We start from the raw sequence: 18,386 nt of genomic DNA, 5'->3' as shown, positions 1-18,386 counted from the left end.
AAAAAAAAGAAAGGAAAAAGCCTGAAGTGTGGAAACAAACCTTTGAATCCTATCTGATGCCATTTATTAGCTGATAACTTTCTGCAAGCCACTTACCTTCTCCCGGTTGCTACTACTTCATTTATAAAATGTAAAAATTGTTTCACAAGGTTGTATCAGGATCAAGTAGATGTGTGTTAATATGCTTTGTAAATTAGAAAATGCAATTATAATTACTCAATTTGAAAGTAATTTTAAAACACAAAAACTTTGATTTACAAAACAAGAAGCATTTGAAGTTATCTGAATAAGTACTGTTTGGAAACTGTACAGTTGTGGAAGATAACACAAGGCAAAACACAGGTACTTACGATAGTAATGATCTTGCATTTCGTGCATTTGCGAAATGTACTCTGCGAACTTTTTGTAAGGATCTTGTACCTGATTTCAGAATACCTTTACGTGGTACATTTGAGGAACGATTCATTTTCCCTCCAATGAAGTAATCTGAAAGTACATAAATTAACCCTTTGAGGTCATAATTTATACTATTACACTGTTTGGACAAGACTCAAGTGCCATATGATTGTTGTACTAATTCTGAATCCTTTAAAAAGGAAGGCATTGTGGATCTCTTAAAGTTGCTTACAGTTTACATTCTTTGTGTACTAAAAATATTATATGGTATATGGAAAAGACAAGTAAATCTATCCATAGCCTTCTAACTGGTCTGTCTCCAGTCTTTTTCTCCTCTTATTCATCTTCCACACTACACCTGGAGTTAACTTTTTAACTCAATAATTCAATCTCCTCACTCTCCAGCTGTCTACCAACAAGCTCATTGAGGGCAGGAGGCATCTTGTTAACTACAGAGTCCTCAGTGCCTAGCACAGTGGAGAGTTTTTACATGTTTGTCTAAAAACGTTTTGTCCCAGTTTTATCACCAAATAGCAGTGAGACTTTGGGCAAGTCACTTAACCTCTCAGTGGTTCAGTTCCCTCCTTGGTAAAGTGAGAGGGTATACACTAAATTTCTGATTCCACCTCCAACTTTCTATTCTTTAAAGCAACGAGTTTGGATGCAGTAATGCTCCAATTTGGATGCAGCTCCCAAATTCTTACTCACTGCTTGGTCTCTGTTACTAAACCAGGGGCTCTTTATCATTTCTTTTGGTGCCATGGACCCCTATGGACAGATCTCTTCTAAGAATTGGTTTTAAAACGCATAACATAAAATACATAGGATTACAAGGTGCTCCAATTATATTGAAATCATCAAAATATTTTTTAAAACAAAATTATAGTAAATGTGTCTTCTTAATGCATTAAATGAGCTCTAATAACTACTGTATTTTTGTAGTAACGAGCATAAATATTTCAAGATCCCTGACATGACTGCAATGTAACATGAAAATATCTGTGCTTTCCATTGATGACAAAGTCATCAATGTTAATACTACTGTGGCTTGTTATCTACACTATAATTGAAAGAAACAAAGTTCAGTTAGAGGTTAGTGAAAATGAAGTTGTCATTTTTTCCCCCATACAAGTTCACATACCCCCTGAATTAAGAACTTCTGCCCTAATTTATCAATATGTTTCACATTTTTATGTATGTGTGACGTTACACTGCTGATGCAGAGAGCCTTCTGAGTCTATTCAGTATTTCTCCTTGGGGATGCCTTGGAATATACAATCCTCTTAAGAAAGAGAAAAGCAGCCCTTAACATCTGGGAGCTAAGCTGGGCTTAACTAACACCAAGGCTGGCAGTCACAGCTGGGCCTTGGTGTTACCACTGCTTCCTAACAACACCCGATCCAGAGCAAAGCTCCTGCTTCCTTGAACTCGCCCCAAAATCACCGAACCAAAGCCCAAATCCTATAATAAATCTAACTCTTTTACTGAAATATGTCACTGTGTTCCTACGTGTGCGTTCTCCTTGCAGCAATGAGAAACCCAATTTCTTCAACTACAGGTGTGCCCCTAGTGGTCTTTGGCTGGAGGGCAGTGGCACGTCACTGTACAAATTCTAAATTTTTCCAGATGCTCGCCTGGATGGGGCTTACACTTTTTATAGGATTAGGGCAGAAATACAGAATGAAATAGGAAATACATCCTCATTATGAGACAGTGCAACAATTGTTTTGGCTAGAACACAGGTTTCAAAGGCAGACTAATGGGTTTGGATCCTAGCTTCCCACTTCCTATGTGGTCTTGTACAAATTACTTCTACGTGCCTCAGTTTCTTCATCTATGTATTGGGAATAATAATCATGCCCACCTACTTCCGTTGTTGGAAAGATTAGATGAATGTGAATAAAGAACTTAGATCAGGGCTGCGCATATCAAAGTGCTGTATCAGTGCTTGTTTACTCTTGTTAATAAGATAATTATTGCCATTATCAGTTACTTCTACAAGTATTAAGGGACAAACATTTGATTTCCAGAGAGGAGGCTTACCGCTTGTTTCTTAACGGGAAAAAATAAGGTCAGAGCCTTTTCCGATTAAAGGACACAGCATATTAGTTTAAATTTAAAACCTGAGAAACCTCAAGTCCTTGGTTAAAACCTTTCGTAAGGTAAATCCAGGCCGCCAACCGGCGGCTTCCGGCTGCGAAGCTTTCGAAGCCGCCGGTGGCCCTCCAAGCGCCCCCTCTCGGCAGCCTCTGCTCACAGAAATCCCAGTACACGCCGCTGGGCGCCCAGTCGCCGCTGCAAAGACAGTTTCCCAGCGCCGCGGCAACGCCAGGCGCCTCCCTCCTCGCGCCTCCGCGTACCGTCCACACAGAGCCGGCGCTTTCTTGCCGCCTAGCAACCGCCGGCGCAGGGGCGGAGCCTCCTGGAGGGCGGGGTTTGCGTTCACCCGCTGCCCGGGCGCGACGCGCTGCGGCTCAGCGACGCGGCTTCTAGAACCGGGTGATTGAACTAAACCTTCGCCGCACCGAGTTTGCAGTACGGCCGTCACCCGCACCGCTGCCTGCTTGCGGTTGGAGAAATCAAGGCCCTACCGGGCCTCCGTAGTCACCTCTCTATAGTGGGCGTGGCCGAGGCCGGGGTGACCCTGCCGGAGCCTCCGCTGCCAGCGACATGTTCAAGGTGAGAGCGTGGAGTCGAGTCACAGCTGTCACCGCCCCCTCCCGGCCGCCCGAGCCCTCCCCGCGCTCTCTTGGGGCCTCTCTGCAGCCAGGCCTGGCTCACCCCGAGGCTTTTCCCGCCACTGGGCCGGCTGCGTCCCGGCCCCGCGGTTCATTCACTGGTCTACTGGGGATGAGCGGCTGCCGGGCGGAGGCGGGAGACCCCCGGGTGGGTGGGGGCGGCCCTTTGGGTTGTGCTTTCGTGAATTAAACACTTTGAAAATTTAAAGTGCCTTCCCCCAAAGTACCCATCCCCTCGGCTAGTACCCTCTTGGGATCGTGGGTAGGGTGAGGCCAGCTCAGGGCACTGTGGGGTTCGCGGCTTTAGTTGCCTGGCAGGGTCAGGTTTCAGAACCTGATGTGTGGATGGGGGAGGGTCATTTTAGGAGAAGCTGTGCAGGGTATGGGGGAGGCTGGGGTGGGATGGCTGGGTGACGAGGGAAGCTGGAGCTTTGCTCCACTCCTCAGGGAACATTATTTAATACGGGCCAGTGGACCCCCTTCCCTGCGTTTTGTGAACTCGTGTCCTTTGGAAAAAAATCGACTTTTACGATGAAGACTTAATTTCGAAAATCTGCACTTTAGCATAAAGCCATTATTCTACTTTTTAAAAAGTAAATTATATGTATTTTGTCATAAAAAATCACAGGCTACCAGAAATTAATCTACAAAATTGAGTCTTCAAGAAGCATAGTACCCATAAAATAGTGCTAATGAAATCTCAGAATTGTACTATTCATTTAAAAGTTTTATTGAGCTCTGCAATGTGCTTTGGGTACGTTAATAAAGGCTGTAAAATCAGAACATGCATTCTGCCTTCTAGTCCTGGCATTGCCACTTTCTAGCTGTGTGACCTTGGGCAAGTCACTGTGCCTATCTTCCTTTGGTGAAGTTGGGGTAATAACATCTACCTCATAGGGTTGTTATAAGGAGTAAGTTGGTATGTGTAAAGCACTTGGAAAAGGCCTAGTATTTGCTCTTACTCTGTTTTCAGGCAGCTCACAGTTTAGTCAGGAAGACAGATCCTATAATCAACATTCATTTGATAAATTTGTGTGTTAAACACCTGTTATGTGCTAGGAGCTCAGCTCCATTTCAGGGTTACAACAAGGAAAGATATGCTGTGGCCAGTTTAACTATATGTGTACCAACAGTGTAGTAAAGTAGTAAAAAGGAGAGCAGGATCCACTTGGCTTAACCAGGGGTTCCTAACCTGGGGCCCTCAGCTCCTCAAAGGATCTGCACATAGATTTCAGAGGATCCCTGAACTTTGATGGGGAAAAAACATAACTATTTTTAGCAATCTCCAATTGGAATTGAGCACTTCCTTTAGTTACGCATATGGGTAATGTCTCAGTTATCTATTGTTGGGTAACAAATCACTGCAAACCAGTGCCTTAAAACAAGAATTGTTTCTCAAAATCTGGGTTGGCTGGGCAGTTCTGCTGGTGACTTGACTGAAAGTTGGCTTCACTCCCATGTCTGGGGGCTTGGTGCCCCTCCATGTGCCTAGGTTGGACTTCCTCACTTGGTTACTGACTTCCAAGAGGGCAAGTCCCAAGGCACAAACACAGCATCATGTTTGCTGATGTCAAAACAAGTCACGTAGCCAAGTCCAGAGTTGATATGGTGGGGAACCACACAAGGTCATAGATATGAGTTGGTGCACTTCGCTGGGGGCCATTCATTTTACAAGTTCCTACTGTAACAAATCACAGTAGTATTAGCAGTACCTGTTACCAGTAGAAGTCACAGTACCAGCACAAGTCACAGACATTTTCATATTACATTACAGTTGTTGCAGATGTCAAAATATCACTTATGCTCATTACTACTTCAGAACTATGGTAGTTATAAGACTCACTGCTAGATCTTTTTGTTTAGTGGGCTAGTAAAGAAGCACATACTGCTTATATCAGATATTTGAGTTTAAAAAATAAGATTATTTCAATATAGTTGGGACTTTTTTGTATGCAATTAGAAGCATTATTTTGAGAAGGAGTCTATAGGACTCACTGACGGCCAAAGAGGTCCACGGCAGAAAAAAAGGTAAGGAACCCCTGGGGACTTCAGAGAAGGCTTCACAGACGGGACACTTAAATTTAGTTTTGAGACAGGTAGGAGTTCTTCAGGTAAAAGGGGTGGGGAACATCAGTGGTATTCCATTGGGGGAAGTGCTGGAAGCTCAGTTTTGATGTGTCAAGGGAAAGACATAGTGAGCTGAGATTATTATTATTATTATTATTGTTATCATTATTATTTTTTTCAGACAGAGTCTGGCCCTGTTGTCCGGGCTGGAGTGCAGTGGTGCGATCTTGGCTCACTGCAGCCTCCGCCTCCTGGGTTCAAGTGATTCTCCTGCCTCAGCCTCTGAGTAGCTAGGATTACAGGCGCCCGCCACCACGCCTGGCTAATTTTTTTGTATTTTTAATAAAGACGGAGTTTCACCATGTGTTGGCCAGGCTGGTCTCGAACTCCTGACCTCGTGATTCGCCCGCCTTGGCCTCCCAAAGTGCTGGGATTACAGGTGTGACCCACCGCGCCCGACTGAACTGAGATTATTTCAGGTGAACATGTACTTTGGGTAGAAAAGATCACAACAAACCTTGGAGGACACCAAAATGTAGGAGTAGGCAGAGGAAAGGGGGAGGCCAGACTTGAGAAGCAGAAGTAGGAGCAGAAAAGAGTGATGTTTAGAAAATCGAGGGAGAAAAGTTTCAAGGAGAAATGGCTATGTTAGGATGCTTTCAGCTGGGAAAACCCAACTGCTTAAATAGTAAGGAAAATTCTCTCACAAAGTCCAGAGGAAGAATGGATTCCAGGCTCTGATTCAGTTGGTCAACAGTGTCAGGCCAGGCACGGTGGCTCACGCCTGTAATCCCAGCACTTCGGGAGGCCGAGGCGGGCGGATCACGAGGTCAGGAGATCGAGACCATCCTGGCTAACATGGTGAAACCCTGTCTCTACTAAAAATACAAAAAATTAGCCGGGTGTGTTGGCGGGTGCCTGTAGTCTCAGCTACTCGGGAGGCTGAGGCAGGAGAATGGCAAGAACCCGGGAGGCGGAGGTTGCAGTGAGCTGAGATCGCACCACTGAACTCCAGCCTGGGAGACAGCGAGACTCCGTCCCAAAAAAAAAAAAAAAAAAAAAACCAGTGTCATCAAGGACCCATCTCTTCTTGGGTTTCCACAGTCAGGTTGGTTTCCTTTAGGGTTGCAAGATGACTACTAGTAACATACACACTTTCTCATTCTCTAGAGCAAGAGGAGGAGGAGAGAGAAAAAACTCCCACACTTGGTCCTTCAGTCTGATTGGACCAACTTAGGTCAGTTGTCTGACCCTGTAACAGTTGTCAGAGGAATGCCATGATCTGATTGGCTTAGACTAAACAGGATCAACCCAGGGTGGCGTCACTTAATCACAGGGGAGAGGAATGCATTCATGAACACAATGGAGTTCTTTTAGGAAGGAAGAGGGAGAATAGAGACTGGATATGCAACCAACAATGTCCATGACGGAGATATAAGCTAGATGAGATATGAGTTAGTTACATATCATGAGTCGTGTTCACTGATTTGGGCACTTTGGAAAGCTTTCATGATCCTTATACTTTAGGTTTACTGATGGAAGTGAAGGGTAGATTAACCTGGGTTGGTGACTGAGGGCCAAGTAAGTGGACACTATGATGGTTGATAAGCTTGACTATCAAGGGAAGGAGAGAGAATTTGGTAACTAGAAGGATATGTTCAGTCAAGATTCTAGAGAGAATACCTCAGCTGTGCAAGGGAGAGATATTCCCACCCGAGAGATGGAAGGAAAAGAAAGGTGCGAGAGATTGTAGACCAGTGGTTCTCCATAGAATGGTACGACTCAACAGAATGGTATGTTTTGGAAACTTGTGGGGTTGTTCTTTTTTTCTTTTTTCGTTTTTAACTTTGCAAAAATTATAACTGAAAATGGGGTTGTTCTTTATGTCTTTAGTTGTGTTGAACATTTACATACTGAAATATAATTCACATAAATCTTTCCTTTTTATTCACCTTTATGCTACCATCAGAGTATACTGATTTACTTTTTGGACTTATGCATGTAACTTAGTGATGAATTTTATTTCAGGATACCAGAAGAGTGTCAGAAAATATTTGTCATAAAATGGTGATGTTAGGTCTAGTAGTTGAGAACCAGTGCTTGTCAAACTTTAATGGGCATGTGACTCTTGTTAAAATGGATTCCAATTCAGTAGGTCTGGGATGCGGCCTCAAATGCTCCATTTTTTTTTTTTTTTCTAGATGGAGTCTCGCTCTATCACGCAGGCTTGAGTACAGTGGCGCAGTTTCTGCTCACTGCAACCTCCGCCTCCCGGGCTCAAGCAATTCCTCTGCCTCAGCCTCCTGAGTAGCTGGGATTGACAGGTGCGCGCCACCATGCCCAGCTAATTTTTTGTATCTTTAGTAGAGACGGGGCTTCACCATGCTGGCCAGGCTGGTCTCAAACTCCTGACCTTGTGATCCACCCGCCTCAGCCTCCCAAAGTGCTGGGATTACAGACGTGAGCCGCCGCACCCGGCCAGATTCTCCATTTTTTAACTAGTTCTATAGTTTTCGTTGGTCCCCTTTGACTAGCAAGAATTGAAGCCAATCGGTAGATGAATGGTTCTTGTGTTTTCGAGATGGATGGTCTTATGAACATGGTGGGATTTGGGAGAGGCACTGACCAAGGAACAAAAAGATAGGCCAGACCCTTTGAGGGCTCTGCTGAGAGCACTCCTGTATGTTTGTGCAGAGTGGGGATGGAGTAAACGGTAGGATTGATCGGGGTTTGGGAGTTAACAGCTTGGGTTAACTAGAACTGGAGGGCAAAGGAGTTAATAGTATAGGTGTTGGTAGTAAAAGTACAATGGTAGTAAAAGTGCAGTGTGTCTGACTAGTTATGTGCATATTAAGTACACATTGTACTTAAAATATATACTGCGATGTTTTGATATAGTTATTCATCTTCAGGTCACTAGGGGGCATTGGTGGATTAAAAAACACATTTGAAAAGCTGCCCAGTATTTGCATTCCATTGTAGGAAGCAGCTTTTCCTTGTGCTGCTGCAGGAAGTTTGAATATTGGATACATATACCCAGATTCACGTTATTAGATTTCCTTCATTACACAGATTTTATCCTAGTCCAACTATGGGCTGGGCATCATGCTGGACCCTGGTGGGTACAAGTGAAAAGACCCAGTTCTTATCTAGGAGAGAGGTCCCAAATCTGGCCACAAATCAGAATTATTCAAGGAGACAGTTTCCAAGCCCCTGCGCATGGTTCTGACTGACTTTTTAGTTGGCGTCCAGGAACTGCTAGTTTTGAAAAAGCCCCCCAAGGTGATTATGAAACTTTCATTTCAGAAGCTCACAATGCACTTACCAGCACAGACATTAAAGGTCCGTTAACGATGCAGTGGGTCTCAACCTTGACTGCATGTTAGAGCCACCTGGGGAGCTTTTAAAAGTCCCGATGCCCAGTCTAGAACCTATACCAATGACATCAAGAATCTCTAGGGGTAGGATTAGGCATCTAGTTTTTGGAGCAAGCAGCCAGCCTTGAGATCTACTGACTTAGAGGGAAGAGCAACAGCAGGGGGCATCAGAAGGCTTTATAGAGAAGAACATGCCTATGCTGATCTTTGGAGCTAGGCAGACAAGGTTGAAAGGGCCTTCCAAACAGAGAAGAAAAGCACATGCAAGGACACAGAAGTGTGAGAGTGTTCAGAACAGTGTTAAGACCTTGGGCTTCACTGTGTTCCTTGTGAGAGATACTAAAGTTTTCTGTAGCTGCTTCCTCATTTGTAAAACAAGGATGAGATGCTTACCAACCTCAAATTATTGTGTGGATTAAATTCATTCCTACGCAAAGCTTAGAACAGTGCTTGGCCCAAAGTAAGGGCTGAAGAAATGTGAGCTGTTACTTTTAGTTGGCATCTTGTAAGATGGCATCTTGTAACTACCTGTGTTACGGTGGTGCACGGTCTTGGGGCTCTCCAAAAGTATTTTTTATTTCAAAACTTGGTAGTCAGTTGGATGTGGTAGATGAGGGAGAAGGATAAATTAAGGTTTCTGCCCAGGCTTTTGACTTTTGACTGTGGGATCTATTCATTGAGGTGGGAACTATTCATTGAGGTGGGAAAGTGGAAGAAGGTTGAATTTGGTTTGAGGGGGAGGTGATGGTTTGGTTTTGAACAGGTTGGGCTTGCTGAAATATCTGGGCATTGGAAGGGGGAAATCAGTTGATGTAGAACCCCAGGGTATGGACTTTTCCTGCCACAGACGTGGGCTGGAAATTGGGAAATCATCAGCTGCTAACTGAAGCCTCCAGGGCAAGAAGGTGGCCTAGTGAAAACTGGTCTGTGTCACTTCCTTCCTCAAGGGCAAATAACATGACCTGTACTCAGAGCTCACCACACCAAGGAGCCTGAGTGAACATGTCCATGACTATGAGGTGTTATTACCTCACACATTCTTTGTGGCTTAGTGTAATACTTACATTGCCTGTCTTCCTGAAATTAATTTTCTTACCATGTTACTAGTATGTTACTAGAACTGCGCGGAGAATTACAATGCTAAATGGAAAAGGAAAATCATCTGTAAATTGGAAGAGTAATGTAACTTTTATACTTGAGCATTATTTTAAAAGCCACATATTTGGAAAGATAATGAAGGTTTTTTTTCCCTAACAGTTTAAGCATCTTCAAGGGAATTCTTCTTGAGGAATTATAGTAACTACATTTTTACTCACATAAATACATTTTTTATGTGCAGAATCAATTGGTTGTTTCTTTTTCCTTTCTTACCTTTCGAAGAAGTTAGACAGTGGATCACAGAGACGAAGAAAAAACTGCTCTGTAGCTCTGGATGCAATCTTTTCAGCCTCAGGTTCTAGTTGTGTTTCTGGCTGAGCGACCTTGTTGAGATTTCTTTTTTTTTTTTTTTTTTTTTGAGCCGGAGTCTTGCCCTGTCACCCAGGCTGGAGTGCACTGGCGCAGTCTTGGCTCTCCGCACCCTCCGCCTCCTGGGTTCAAGCCGGTCTCCTCCCTTAGCCTCCCAAGTAGCTGGGACTACAGGCATGCACCAGCACGCCTGGCCTAGTTTTTGTATTTTTATTAGAGATGGGGTTTCACCATGTTGGCCAGACTGGTCTTGAGCTCCTGACCTTAAGTGATCTGCCCTCCTTGGCCTCCCAAAGTGCTGGGATTACAGGCATGAGTCACCATGCCGGGCCAGTTGAGATTTCTTAATCTCTCAGCGTCCTCTGATCATGATCCTGTGGGGATAGTAGTATGTCCCTCTGTATCTCACAGGATTGTTGGGAGATTCAATTGAGATAATATGCGAAAAGAACCGTGAACTACAAAGCACTATATCAATGTAAGGTGTTTTCTGTTCCTCTTGTATCACATTTGTCCACTGAAGTAATCTATGCTTGCAGGTTAGCACTCTGGACTTAACAACTGTAAAACGTGAATTAACTTGGGTTATTTCACTTCTCATTTGGAAATGAATTCTGCTCAGGACACTGTAGCATTCTTCTATCTACTTCTGAAATGCAGATAGCCTCACAGTTGTAACTAACACTGGAAGAGGAGAAAGAAGAAGTAAAACGATACATTAAAAGAACGGAGAGATTAGAGGCACAGTGGAGGAGAAAAGTAGATGATGTACCAGACATTTATGATAAATGAATTGATTACCCCATGAGGCCTGTTGATATTTGTAGACTTTTATGACGTAAAGGTTTAATTTATAATCTATATGTATATGTGTTCCACACCCATGTCCTTTCTAGGCTAGACTGGAACTTCTTAGAGGCTAGGAAACGAACTTGCATATTTGTTTGTATTGTACATTTAAAATTAGATATATAAATGCATGTTATTAGGTGTGTAATAAATCTCAATAGCAAAGATATCTGTTTCAAAAAGTTTAGACTTATTTTTAATATGACAAGAAAGTACTAAGAGATCTTTAAAATAAAGGAATTGAAAGAGTGTATCAGTTGATTTTCCCCAATAATGCTTAAGTGGAATTTTACAGTTAGTTCATACAGCATGAAACTTTATATATTTTCAGGGACAAAAAAATCCTAGTCTAAAGTTATATTTTAGAATTTGGAAGTTATTTATTTTTCACTTTTGCTGAGTTTTTCCTAATTTTTGCATAGCCTCATGCCAGTTTTGTTAGAAAATTTAATCAGTGCCAATTTCTTAATGTGGTAGGTTTTTAAACTTATTTTCAGTGTTCACTAAAACTTGGAGAAGCAGGAATGTAGGGCAAGGGTCGTAGAGTTTTCAGTATGCTGAAAGCCTATGACTTTGATTGTTAAGCTATATTTTCCTGATACAGCTTTATGCATTATGGATAGTATAGTTGAATTTTAAGTGAATATTGTTTTAAAGGCACTTTAAGTGCAGTTATCCTTTGTCTTCCTATTTCTGGCTGTTTGAAGCAATGCAGCGTGTTTTATTCAAAGCCCACACTGGCTCCCGCTTAAGGACTTCTTTGTTTGGTTCCATGAGGATGAGGAGCCCCCTCTGTGGGAGCTAGAGATAGATCCACAAGTGCATGTTCATTGCCTTAGTGTGGAGGAATTCCCAGTAGTTTCTTTTTTCAGATATTCCTGAAAAGAAGTCTATTCCTTCTTCTGAACAGTCTTTTAAAATGGAATATATGAAACTAACTAATAAAGGTTCTTTTTTTCTTTTCCCCCATTCCACAAACTTCAGTCCTTGTGAACTAGCCTGTTTTTGTTTGTGCTTGCTGAAAATGAGTCTCCTCTCCTATTAGAGATGCTGATTCATGTGACATGGGTTAGACTGGTGAGTGAGTAAGTAAGCAAAAAGTGATTATACGGGCTCCAAGAAGTTTCCTACATTGTCTGTTGATGGTTTACCTCACTTGGCAGATAGAACTGAGCCTGTTTGTGGAGTCACACCATTTGGGAGTCCTGTTAAAGTTGCTGGGTATAGTCCAAACATTTACTTTACTTGTTTTTGTTCCTTATTTTTGCACAGATTTTCATTATGAGGTCAGATGGTTATCAACCGAATTGAGTCTTGTACATGATTTTTTTTTTCCAAAAAAGGCTTACAGTTTTCCTTAAAGAAGAAAAACGCACATGAATAACTGAGATGAAGTCAAAGGCAGTTTTCATTAGTGAGTTTAGAGTTCTCTGTGCACATGGTGGTCTGTTAAGATATGAAACCCGGGTCTAGGCCCGACGTGGTGGCTCACACCTGTAATCCCAGCACTTTGGGAGGCTGAGGCAGGAGAATTCCTTGAGTCCAGGAGTTTGAGACCAACCTGGGCAACATGGCGAAACCCCGCCCGTCTCTACAAAAAATGCAAAAATTAGCCAGGTATGGTGGTGCCTGCCTGTAGTCCCAGCTACTTGAGAGGCTGAGATGGGAGGATCACTTGAGCCCAGGAGGTTGAGGCTGCATTGAGCTGTGATTGTGCCACTGCATTCCAGCCTGAGTGACAGAATGAGACCCTATGTCAAAAAAAACAACAACAAAAAAAGAGATATGAAACCCATGTCTAGGTAGATTTTTTTTTTTTGAGACAGAGCCATGTGTCTAGATAGAAACCTGTGTCTAGATAGATTTTTTTTTTTTTTTTTGAGACAGAATCATGCTCTGTCTCCCAGGCTGGAGTGCAGTGGCACAATCTTAGCTCACTGCAACCTCCACCTCCCAGGCTCAAGCGATCCTCCTGCCTCACCCTCCTGGGTAGCTGGGACTATGGGCACGTGCCACCATTCCCAGATAATTTTTTGTATTTTTTGTAGAGAGGGGGTTTCACCTTTAGCCTGTTGCCCAGGCTGGTCTTGAACTCCTGGGCTCAAAGGATCCGCCCACCTCGGCCTCCCAAAGTGCTGGGATTACAGGCATGAGCCAGCATGCCCTGCCCAGATAGATTTTACTTTGACAGACTAGCTCTCCTATTAAATGATGTACATTTTATTAGTTGCTTGGAAACACAGATGCATTTGAAAAGCTAAACTTGAAGTAAATGTTTCCCAACGATTTTTTCCTCCCTATATTTCCTTAATTCAGAAAAGATTGAGTGGGTCCCAGGATGCCATTCTAATAGAGAAAAAAACACATATATATAGGAGTCTTAAGTAGCAGTAAATTTCTGTCTGGATGAGGAAGTTCAAAATAAATTCTGGACTTGATAAATTACATATTATCTGTGTTCCAAGTCTTTAAAACCAGTATAGCCCAACTGGATGACTCAAAACCTGCCTAAATGAACAATTATCTCACTCTTTGGCCCTAAGGTTTTCTTCCTGTTTATCGCACAAGTTTATTATTTTTCTACATGAATTTTATAAAATCTAATCGCTATCTTTAAAGAGTAGAAAATGAAACAATTGCAGATGAGACATTTTGTTTGCTTTGCTGACCTAATTTTGTGGTGAATTCTACCCTCCAAAGATGAAACAGAACTTGGTTTTCTGTGAGAAAAAGATAATATTAGTCTTGAAAACAGCCTCATTTTTTTCTCTGCTTATCTCTTTAGATTGTAGTCTGTTTACAGTGGATGAGAAAGAGCTAGGAAATACCAATTACTGTAGTACAGAACTAAAGAATTAAAAATTTCTCATAAAATAGTTCTATGTTTGTTGTATTAGGAAGAGTTTTTTTAATGTTGTTTGAAGTCTAAACTTTACTGGGCATGGTGGTTCACACCTGTAATCCCAGCGCTTTGGGAGGCCAAGGCAGGAGGATTGCTTGAGACCAGGAGTTTGAGACCAGCCTGGGAAACATAGTGAGACTCCATCTCTACCAAAAAAAAAAAAAAAAATAGCTGAGTGTGCTCCGTCACACCCATAGTCCTAGGTACTTGGGAGGCTGAAGCAGAAGGATTAGGTGAGCCCAGGAGTTCAAGGCCACAGTGAGCTATGATTGTACCACTGCACTCCAGCCTGAGTGACAAAGGGAGATAAATTCTTGGCTTTATATCCTCCTTTGCTGTGAAACAGATCGAAATGATTGTGGGTTTTATTGTTATTGTTAAAGTATGAGTGCTCCCAAATTTTACATTCAAATGAATGCATCAAAACAGTCGTTTTGAGAGGATAGATTTAATTATACTGTCATTATATTTATTCCAAAAATTCTATCACTGATCAAAACATTTTTACTCTTCCTCATTTGGAATTATCTTCAAACTTTGTGGCAAACCTTTATAATATCCTCAGGAGCTAGCCATTTTTGTTCTTTGCATGTTACAAAACAAATCAATGGTTTTTTTGTAAAAACTTCAGGAAATAGAGATAAGAATTACCTTTAATATCACCACCTATAGACAACCACTGTTAACATCATATTTTTTTTTTTTGAGACGGAGTCTTACTCTGTTGCCCAGGCTGGAGTGCAGTGGCGCCATCTTCGTTCACCGCAACCTCCATCTCCCGGGTTCAAGCAATTCTCCTGCCTCAGCCTCCTGAGTAGCTGGGATTACAGGCGTGCACCACCACGTCCGGCTAATTTTTGTGTTTTTAGTAGAGACAGGGTTTCACCGTGTTGGTCATGCTGGTCTCGAACCACTGACCTCGTGGTCTGCCCACCTCAGCCTCCCAAAGTGCTGGGATTACAGGCATGAGCCACTGCGCCCGGCCCTAACATCTTTTTAGACTCCGTTCTGGACATATTCAAATATACCCTTGGTATGACATTTTCAAAAAACTCGGTGGAATCATACTACAAGTCCCCTTCCTCTTTTTTTTTTTTAAAAAAAATGCCATTTTCTTTTCTTCTTCTTCTTTTTTTTTTAGTAGAATGAGATAATCTTATTATTGACCAAGTTTACATAAAGCTTGATTCTTTACCGCCACCACCACCACAACAGAAAGAAAAGTTTATGTTGGACACTACGTTTAATTAGGAGATGTAGAAAAGGTTCCAGTAGAGATTGTTTTAATGAAGACTAATATTGTAATTTTTTTTTCTATTTTACTCTAAGTCCTGGGATACATGTGCGGAACATGAAGGTTTGTTACATAGGTACACATGCCATGTTGGTTTGCTGCACCTATCAACCTGTCATCTAGGTTTTAAGCCCCGCATGCATTAGGTGTTTGTCCTAATGGTCTCCCTCCCCTTGCCCTCCATCCCCTGATAGGCCCCAGTGTGTGATGTTCCCTTCCATGTGTTATCATTGTTCAATCCCACTTATGAGTGAGAACATGTGATGTTTGGTTTTCTATTCCTGTGTTAGTTTGCTGAGAATGATGGTTTCTAGCTTCATCCATGTCCCTATAAAGAACTCATTCTATTTTATGGCTGCATAGCATTCCATGGTGTATATGTGCCACATTTTCTTTATCCAGTCTATCACTGATGGGCATTTGGGTTGCTTCCAAGTCTTTGCTATTGTAAATAGTGCTGCAATAAACATAGGCGTACAGATGCCATTTTCTCATCTTTGTGTGTGTGTGTGTGGAGATAATGAATCTTTTTTTTTTTTTGAGGCGGAGTCTCACTCTGTCACCCAGGCTGGAATGCAGTGGTGCGATCTCGGCCCACTGCAGCCTTTTGCCTCCTGGGTTCGAGCGATTCTCCTGCCTCAGCCTCCTGAGTAGCTGGGGCTACAGGTGCCCACCAGCTAATTATTGTATTTTTAGTAGAGACAGGGTTTCACACTATGTTGGCCAGGCTTGTCTCGAACCCCTGACCTCAAGTGATCTGCCCGCCTCGGCCTCCCAAAGTGCTGGGATTACAGGCTCGAGCCACCGAATCCGGCCCATTCTCTATTCTTTACCACTCTTATTTAAAATATATCGAGACTGATTTTCTTTACTTTTTTTTTTTAAGCGGAGTTTCACTCTTGTTGCCTAAGCTGGAGTGCAGTGGCATGATCTCGGCTCACTGCAACCTCCGCCTCCAGGGTTCAAGCAATTCTCTTGCCTCAGCTTCCTGAGTAGCTGGGATTACAGGCGCACTCCACCATGCCTGGCTAATTTTTTCTATTTTTAGTAGAAACAGAGTTTCACCATGTTAGCCAGGCTGCTCTTGAACTCCTGACCTCAGGTGATCTAACCAACTTGGCTTTCCAAAGTGCTGGATTACAGGCGTGAGCCACGGCGCCTGGCCGAGACTGATTTTCTTTTAGGCTTAAAATGTGATCTGAAGGCATTTAGAAATGGAAGCCATATGATTACATATTAAAAGTAAATTTTGGTTGGGTGTGGTGGCTCATGTCTGTAATCCCAGCACTTTGGGAGGCCTGAGGTCAGGAGTTTGAGACCAGCCTGGCCAACGTGGCAAAACCCCGTCTCTACTAAAAATACAAAAATTAGCCAGGCGTGGTGGTGTGGGCCTGTAATCCCAGCTACTTGGGAGGCTGAGGTAGGAGAATCGCTTAAACCCGGGAGGCGGAGGTTCCAGTGAGCCGAGATCACACCACTGCACTCCAGCCTGGGTGACAGGGCGAGACTCTGTCTCAAAAAATAATAATAATAAAATAAATTTTAAAAAATAAATTTCACTTATGAAATTTATATAAATAGTTGTAGTAAATTCCGACTCCATATATGATTTATCAAGGTAACTGCTTTGAAAAGAAAACATCTATTTAAAAAAAATGTTGTAAGTAATACTGAAATACTTTTCCTTGTAAAAAGTCAAAATAGTACAGTTGGTCAGGTTGCTATTGTCCACCTCCCCCCAGCCCCCTTTCCAGAGAAAGCCTCTGTTCTGTTTGGTGTGTGGCCCTACATGTTAGAAAGGATTGCTGGCCGGGCATGGTGGCTCATGCCTATAATCCCAGCACTTTGGAAGGCCGAGGCAGGCAGATCACCTGAGATCAGGAGTTCGAGACCAGCCTGGCCAACATGGAGAAACCCCATCTCTACTGAAAATACAAAAAAAATTAGCTGGGCGTGGTGGCAGGCACCTATTATTCCAGCTACTCAGGAGGCTGAGGCTGGAGAATCACTTGAACCCAGGAGACGGAGATTGCAGTGAGCCGAGATTGTGGCACTGCACTCCAGCCTGGGTGGCAAGAGTGAAACTCTGTCTCAAAAAATAAAAAATATAAAAATAAAAGATTGCTGTATAAAATGTAGATACTGTCCTGAATGCTCCTTATGGAGGAGAGTATTCTGTATTCTTTTGACGTTTCAAGAATTGTGGACTCATTTCTCTTGATTTTTATTTTTATTTATTTATTTATTTATTTTTCAGACGGAGCCTTGCCCTGTCGCCCAGACTGGAGTGCAGTGGCGTGATGTCGGCTCACTGCAAGCTCCGCCTCCCAGGTTTTCTCCTGCCTCAGCCTCCTGAGTATCTGGGACTACAGGTTCCCACCACCACGCCTGGCTAATGTTTTGTTTTTTTTTTTTTTGTATTTTTAGTAGAGATGGGGTTTCACCATGTTAGCCAAGATGGTCTCGATCTCCTGACCTCGTGATCTGCCCGCTTCGGCCTCCCAAAGTGCTGGGATTACAGGCGTGAGCCACCGCGCCCGGCCTTTCTCTTGATTTTTCATTCAATTTACAACACGTTACTGAGGACAACAGTGTAGCCTGATTTTGACAAAATTTTTTTATTGTCTTCATCATTTTGTTGTATTCTGAGTTCTTTCACATAGTTCTTTTTTTTGTGTTGGTTACTTAGAATAAGAATAATCTCAAAAGTATTGTCAGTGTTCATAGTTTGTTTTTTTTTTTTGTAAAAAACCCATTTCAGATTTTTACCTCCTAAATAATTAGAATCAGATTAAAATAGTTTTGTTTCGAGTGAAAAATGCTGTCAGAATGGAAATTATTGCAGAAAAGGTTGACTGAGGCCAGGCGCGGTGGCTCACGCTTGTAATCCCAGCACTTTTTTTTTTTTTTTGTGACGGAGTCCCGCTCTGTCGCCCAGGTTGGAGTGCAGTGGCGCGATCTTGGCTCACTGCAAGCTCCACCTCCCAGGTTCACGCCATTCTCCTGCCTCTGCCTCCTGAGTAGCTGGGACTACAGGCGCCCGCCACCATGCCCTGCTAATTTTTTGTATTTTTAGTAGAGATGGGGTTTCACTGTGTTTCTAGGATGGTCTCGATTTCCTGACCTCGTGAACTGCCCACCTTGGCCAATTCCAGCAGTATGAGAGGCCAAGGCAGGTGGATCACCTGAGGTAAGGAGTTTGAGACCACCAGCCTAGCCAACATGGTGAAACCCTGTCTCTACTAAAATTCCAAAAAGTAGCTGGGCATGGTAGCGGGCGCCTGTAATGCCAGCTA

At 42.8% G+C, this 18,386-nt stretch overlaps 2 protein-coding genes across 10 annotated transcripts in view, besides 2 other annotated features; one reads left to right on the top strand and one right to left on the bottom strand.

The window, feature by feature from the left end:
• The window catches only part of CXorf58 (chromosome X open reading frame 58), a 31,578-nt gene extending 28,741 nt beyond the window's left edge, over positions 1–2,837 (bottom strand). For 2 of the 3 annotated variants that reach the window (NM_152761.3, NM_001169574.2), the window contains exons 1-2: positions 2,440–2,763; positions 351–486 (exon numbers count right to left, since the gene is read on the bottom strand). In NM_152761.3, the coding sequence (NP_689974.2) occupies positions 351–466 (116 nt within the window). In that variant the 5' untranslated portion in view covers positions 467–486; positions 2,440–2,763. Of the gene's footprint in view, positions 1–350; positions 487–2,439 lie in introns of all 3 variants that reach the window. The other variant, XM_011545473.3, reaches the window with a different exon arrangement.
• The window catches only part of APOO (apolipoprotein O), a 74,586-nt gene continuing 59,030 nt past the window's right edge, over positions 2,831–18,386 (top strand). For 5 of the 7 annotated variants that reach the window (NR_026545.4, XM_011545587.4, NM_024122.5 and 2 more), the window contains exon 1: positions 2,831–3,075. Coding sequence is in view for 6 of the 7 variants with exons in the window: in XM_011545587.4 (XP_011543889.1) it covers positions 3,067–3,075 (9 nt within the window). In the remaining variant the exon portion in view is untranslated. Of the gene's footprint in view, positions 3,076–6,426; positions 6,995–18,386 lie in introns of those variants that run through there. The other 2 variants (XM_011545586.3, XM_011545585.3) reach the window with 2 other exon arrangements.
• Positions 2,872–3,081: an enhancer, noted in NCBI's record as "active region_29494". NCBI's record gives its function as "activates an Ori minimal core promoter by ATAC-STARR-seq in GM12878 lymphoblastoid cells {active_cell/tissue: GM12878}" and the evidence as "EXISTENCE:reporter gene assay evidence [ECO:0000049][PMID:35858748]".
• Positions 3,262–3,431: a silencer, noted in NCBI's record as "silent region_20707". NCBI's record gives its function as "represses an Ori minimal core promoter by ATAC-STARR-seq in GM12878 lymphoblastoid cells {active_cell/tissue: GM12878}" and the evidence as "EXISTENCE:reporter gene assay evidence [ECO:0000049][PMID:35858748]".

Source organism: Homo sapiens, chromosome X, assembly GCF_000001405.40.
Source record: "Homo sapiens chromosome X, GRCh38.p14 Primary Assembly".
In the NCBI taxonomy this organism is placed as follows: Eukaryota; Metazoa; Chordata; class Mammalia; order Primates; family Hominidae; genus Homo; species Homo sapiens.
This window is presented reverse-complemented; position numbering and strand designations above follow the sequence as displayed.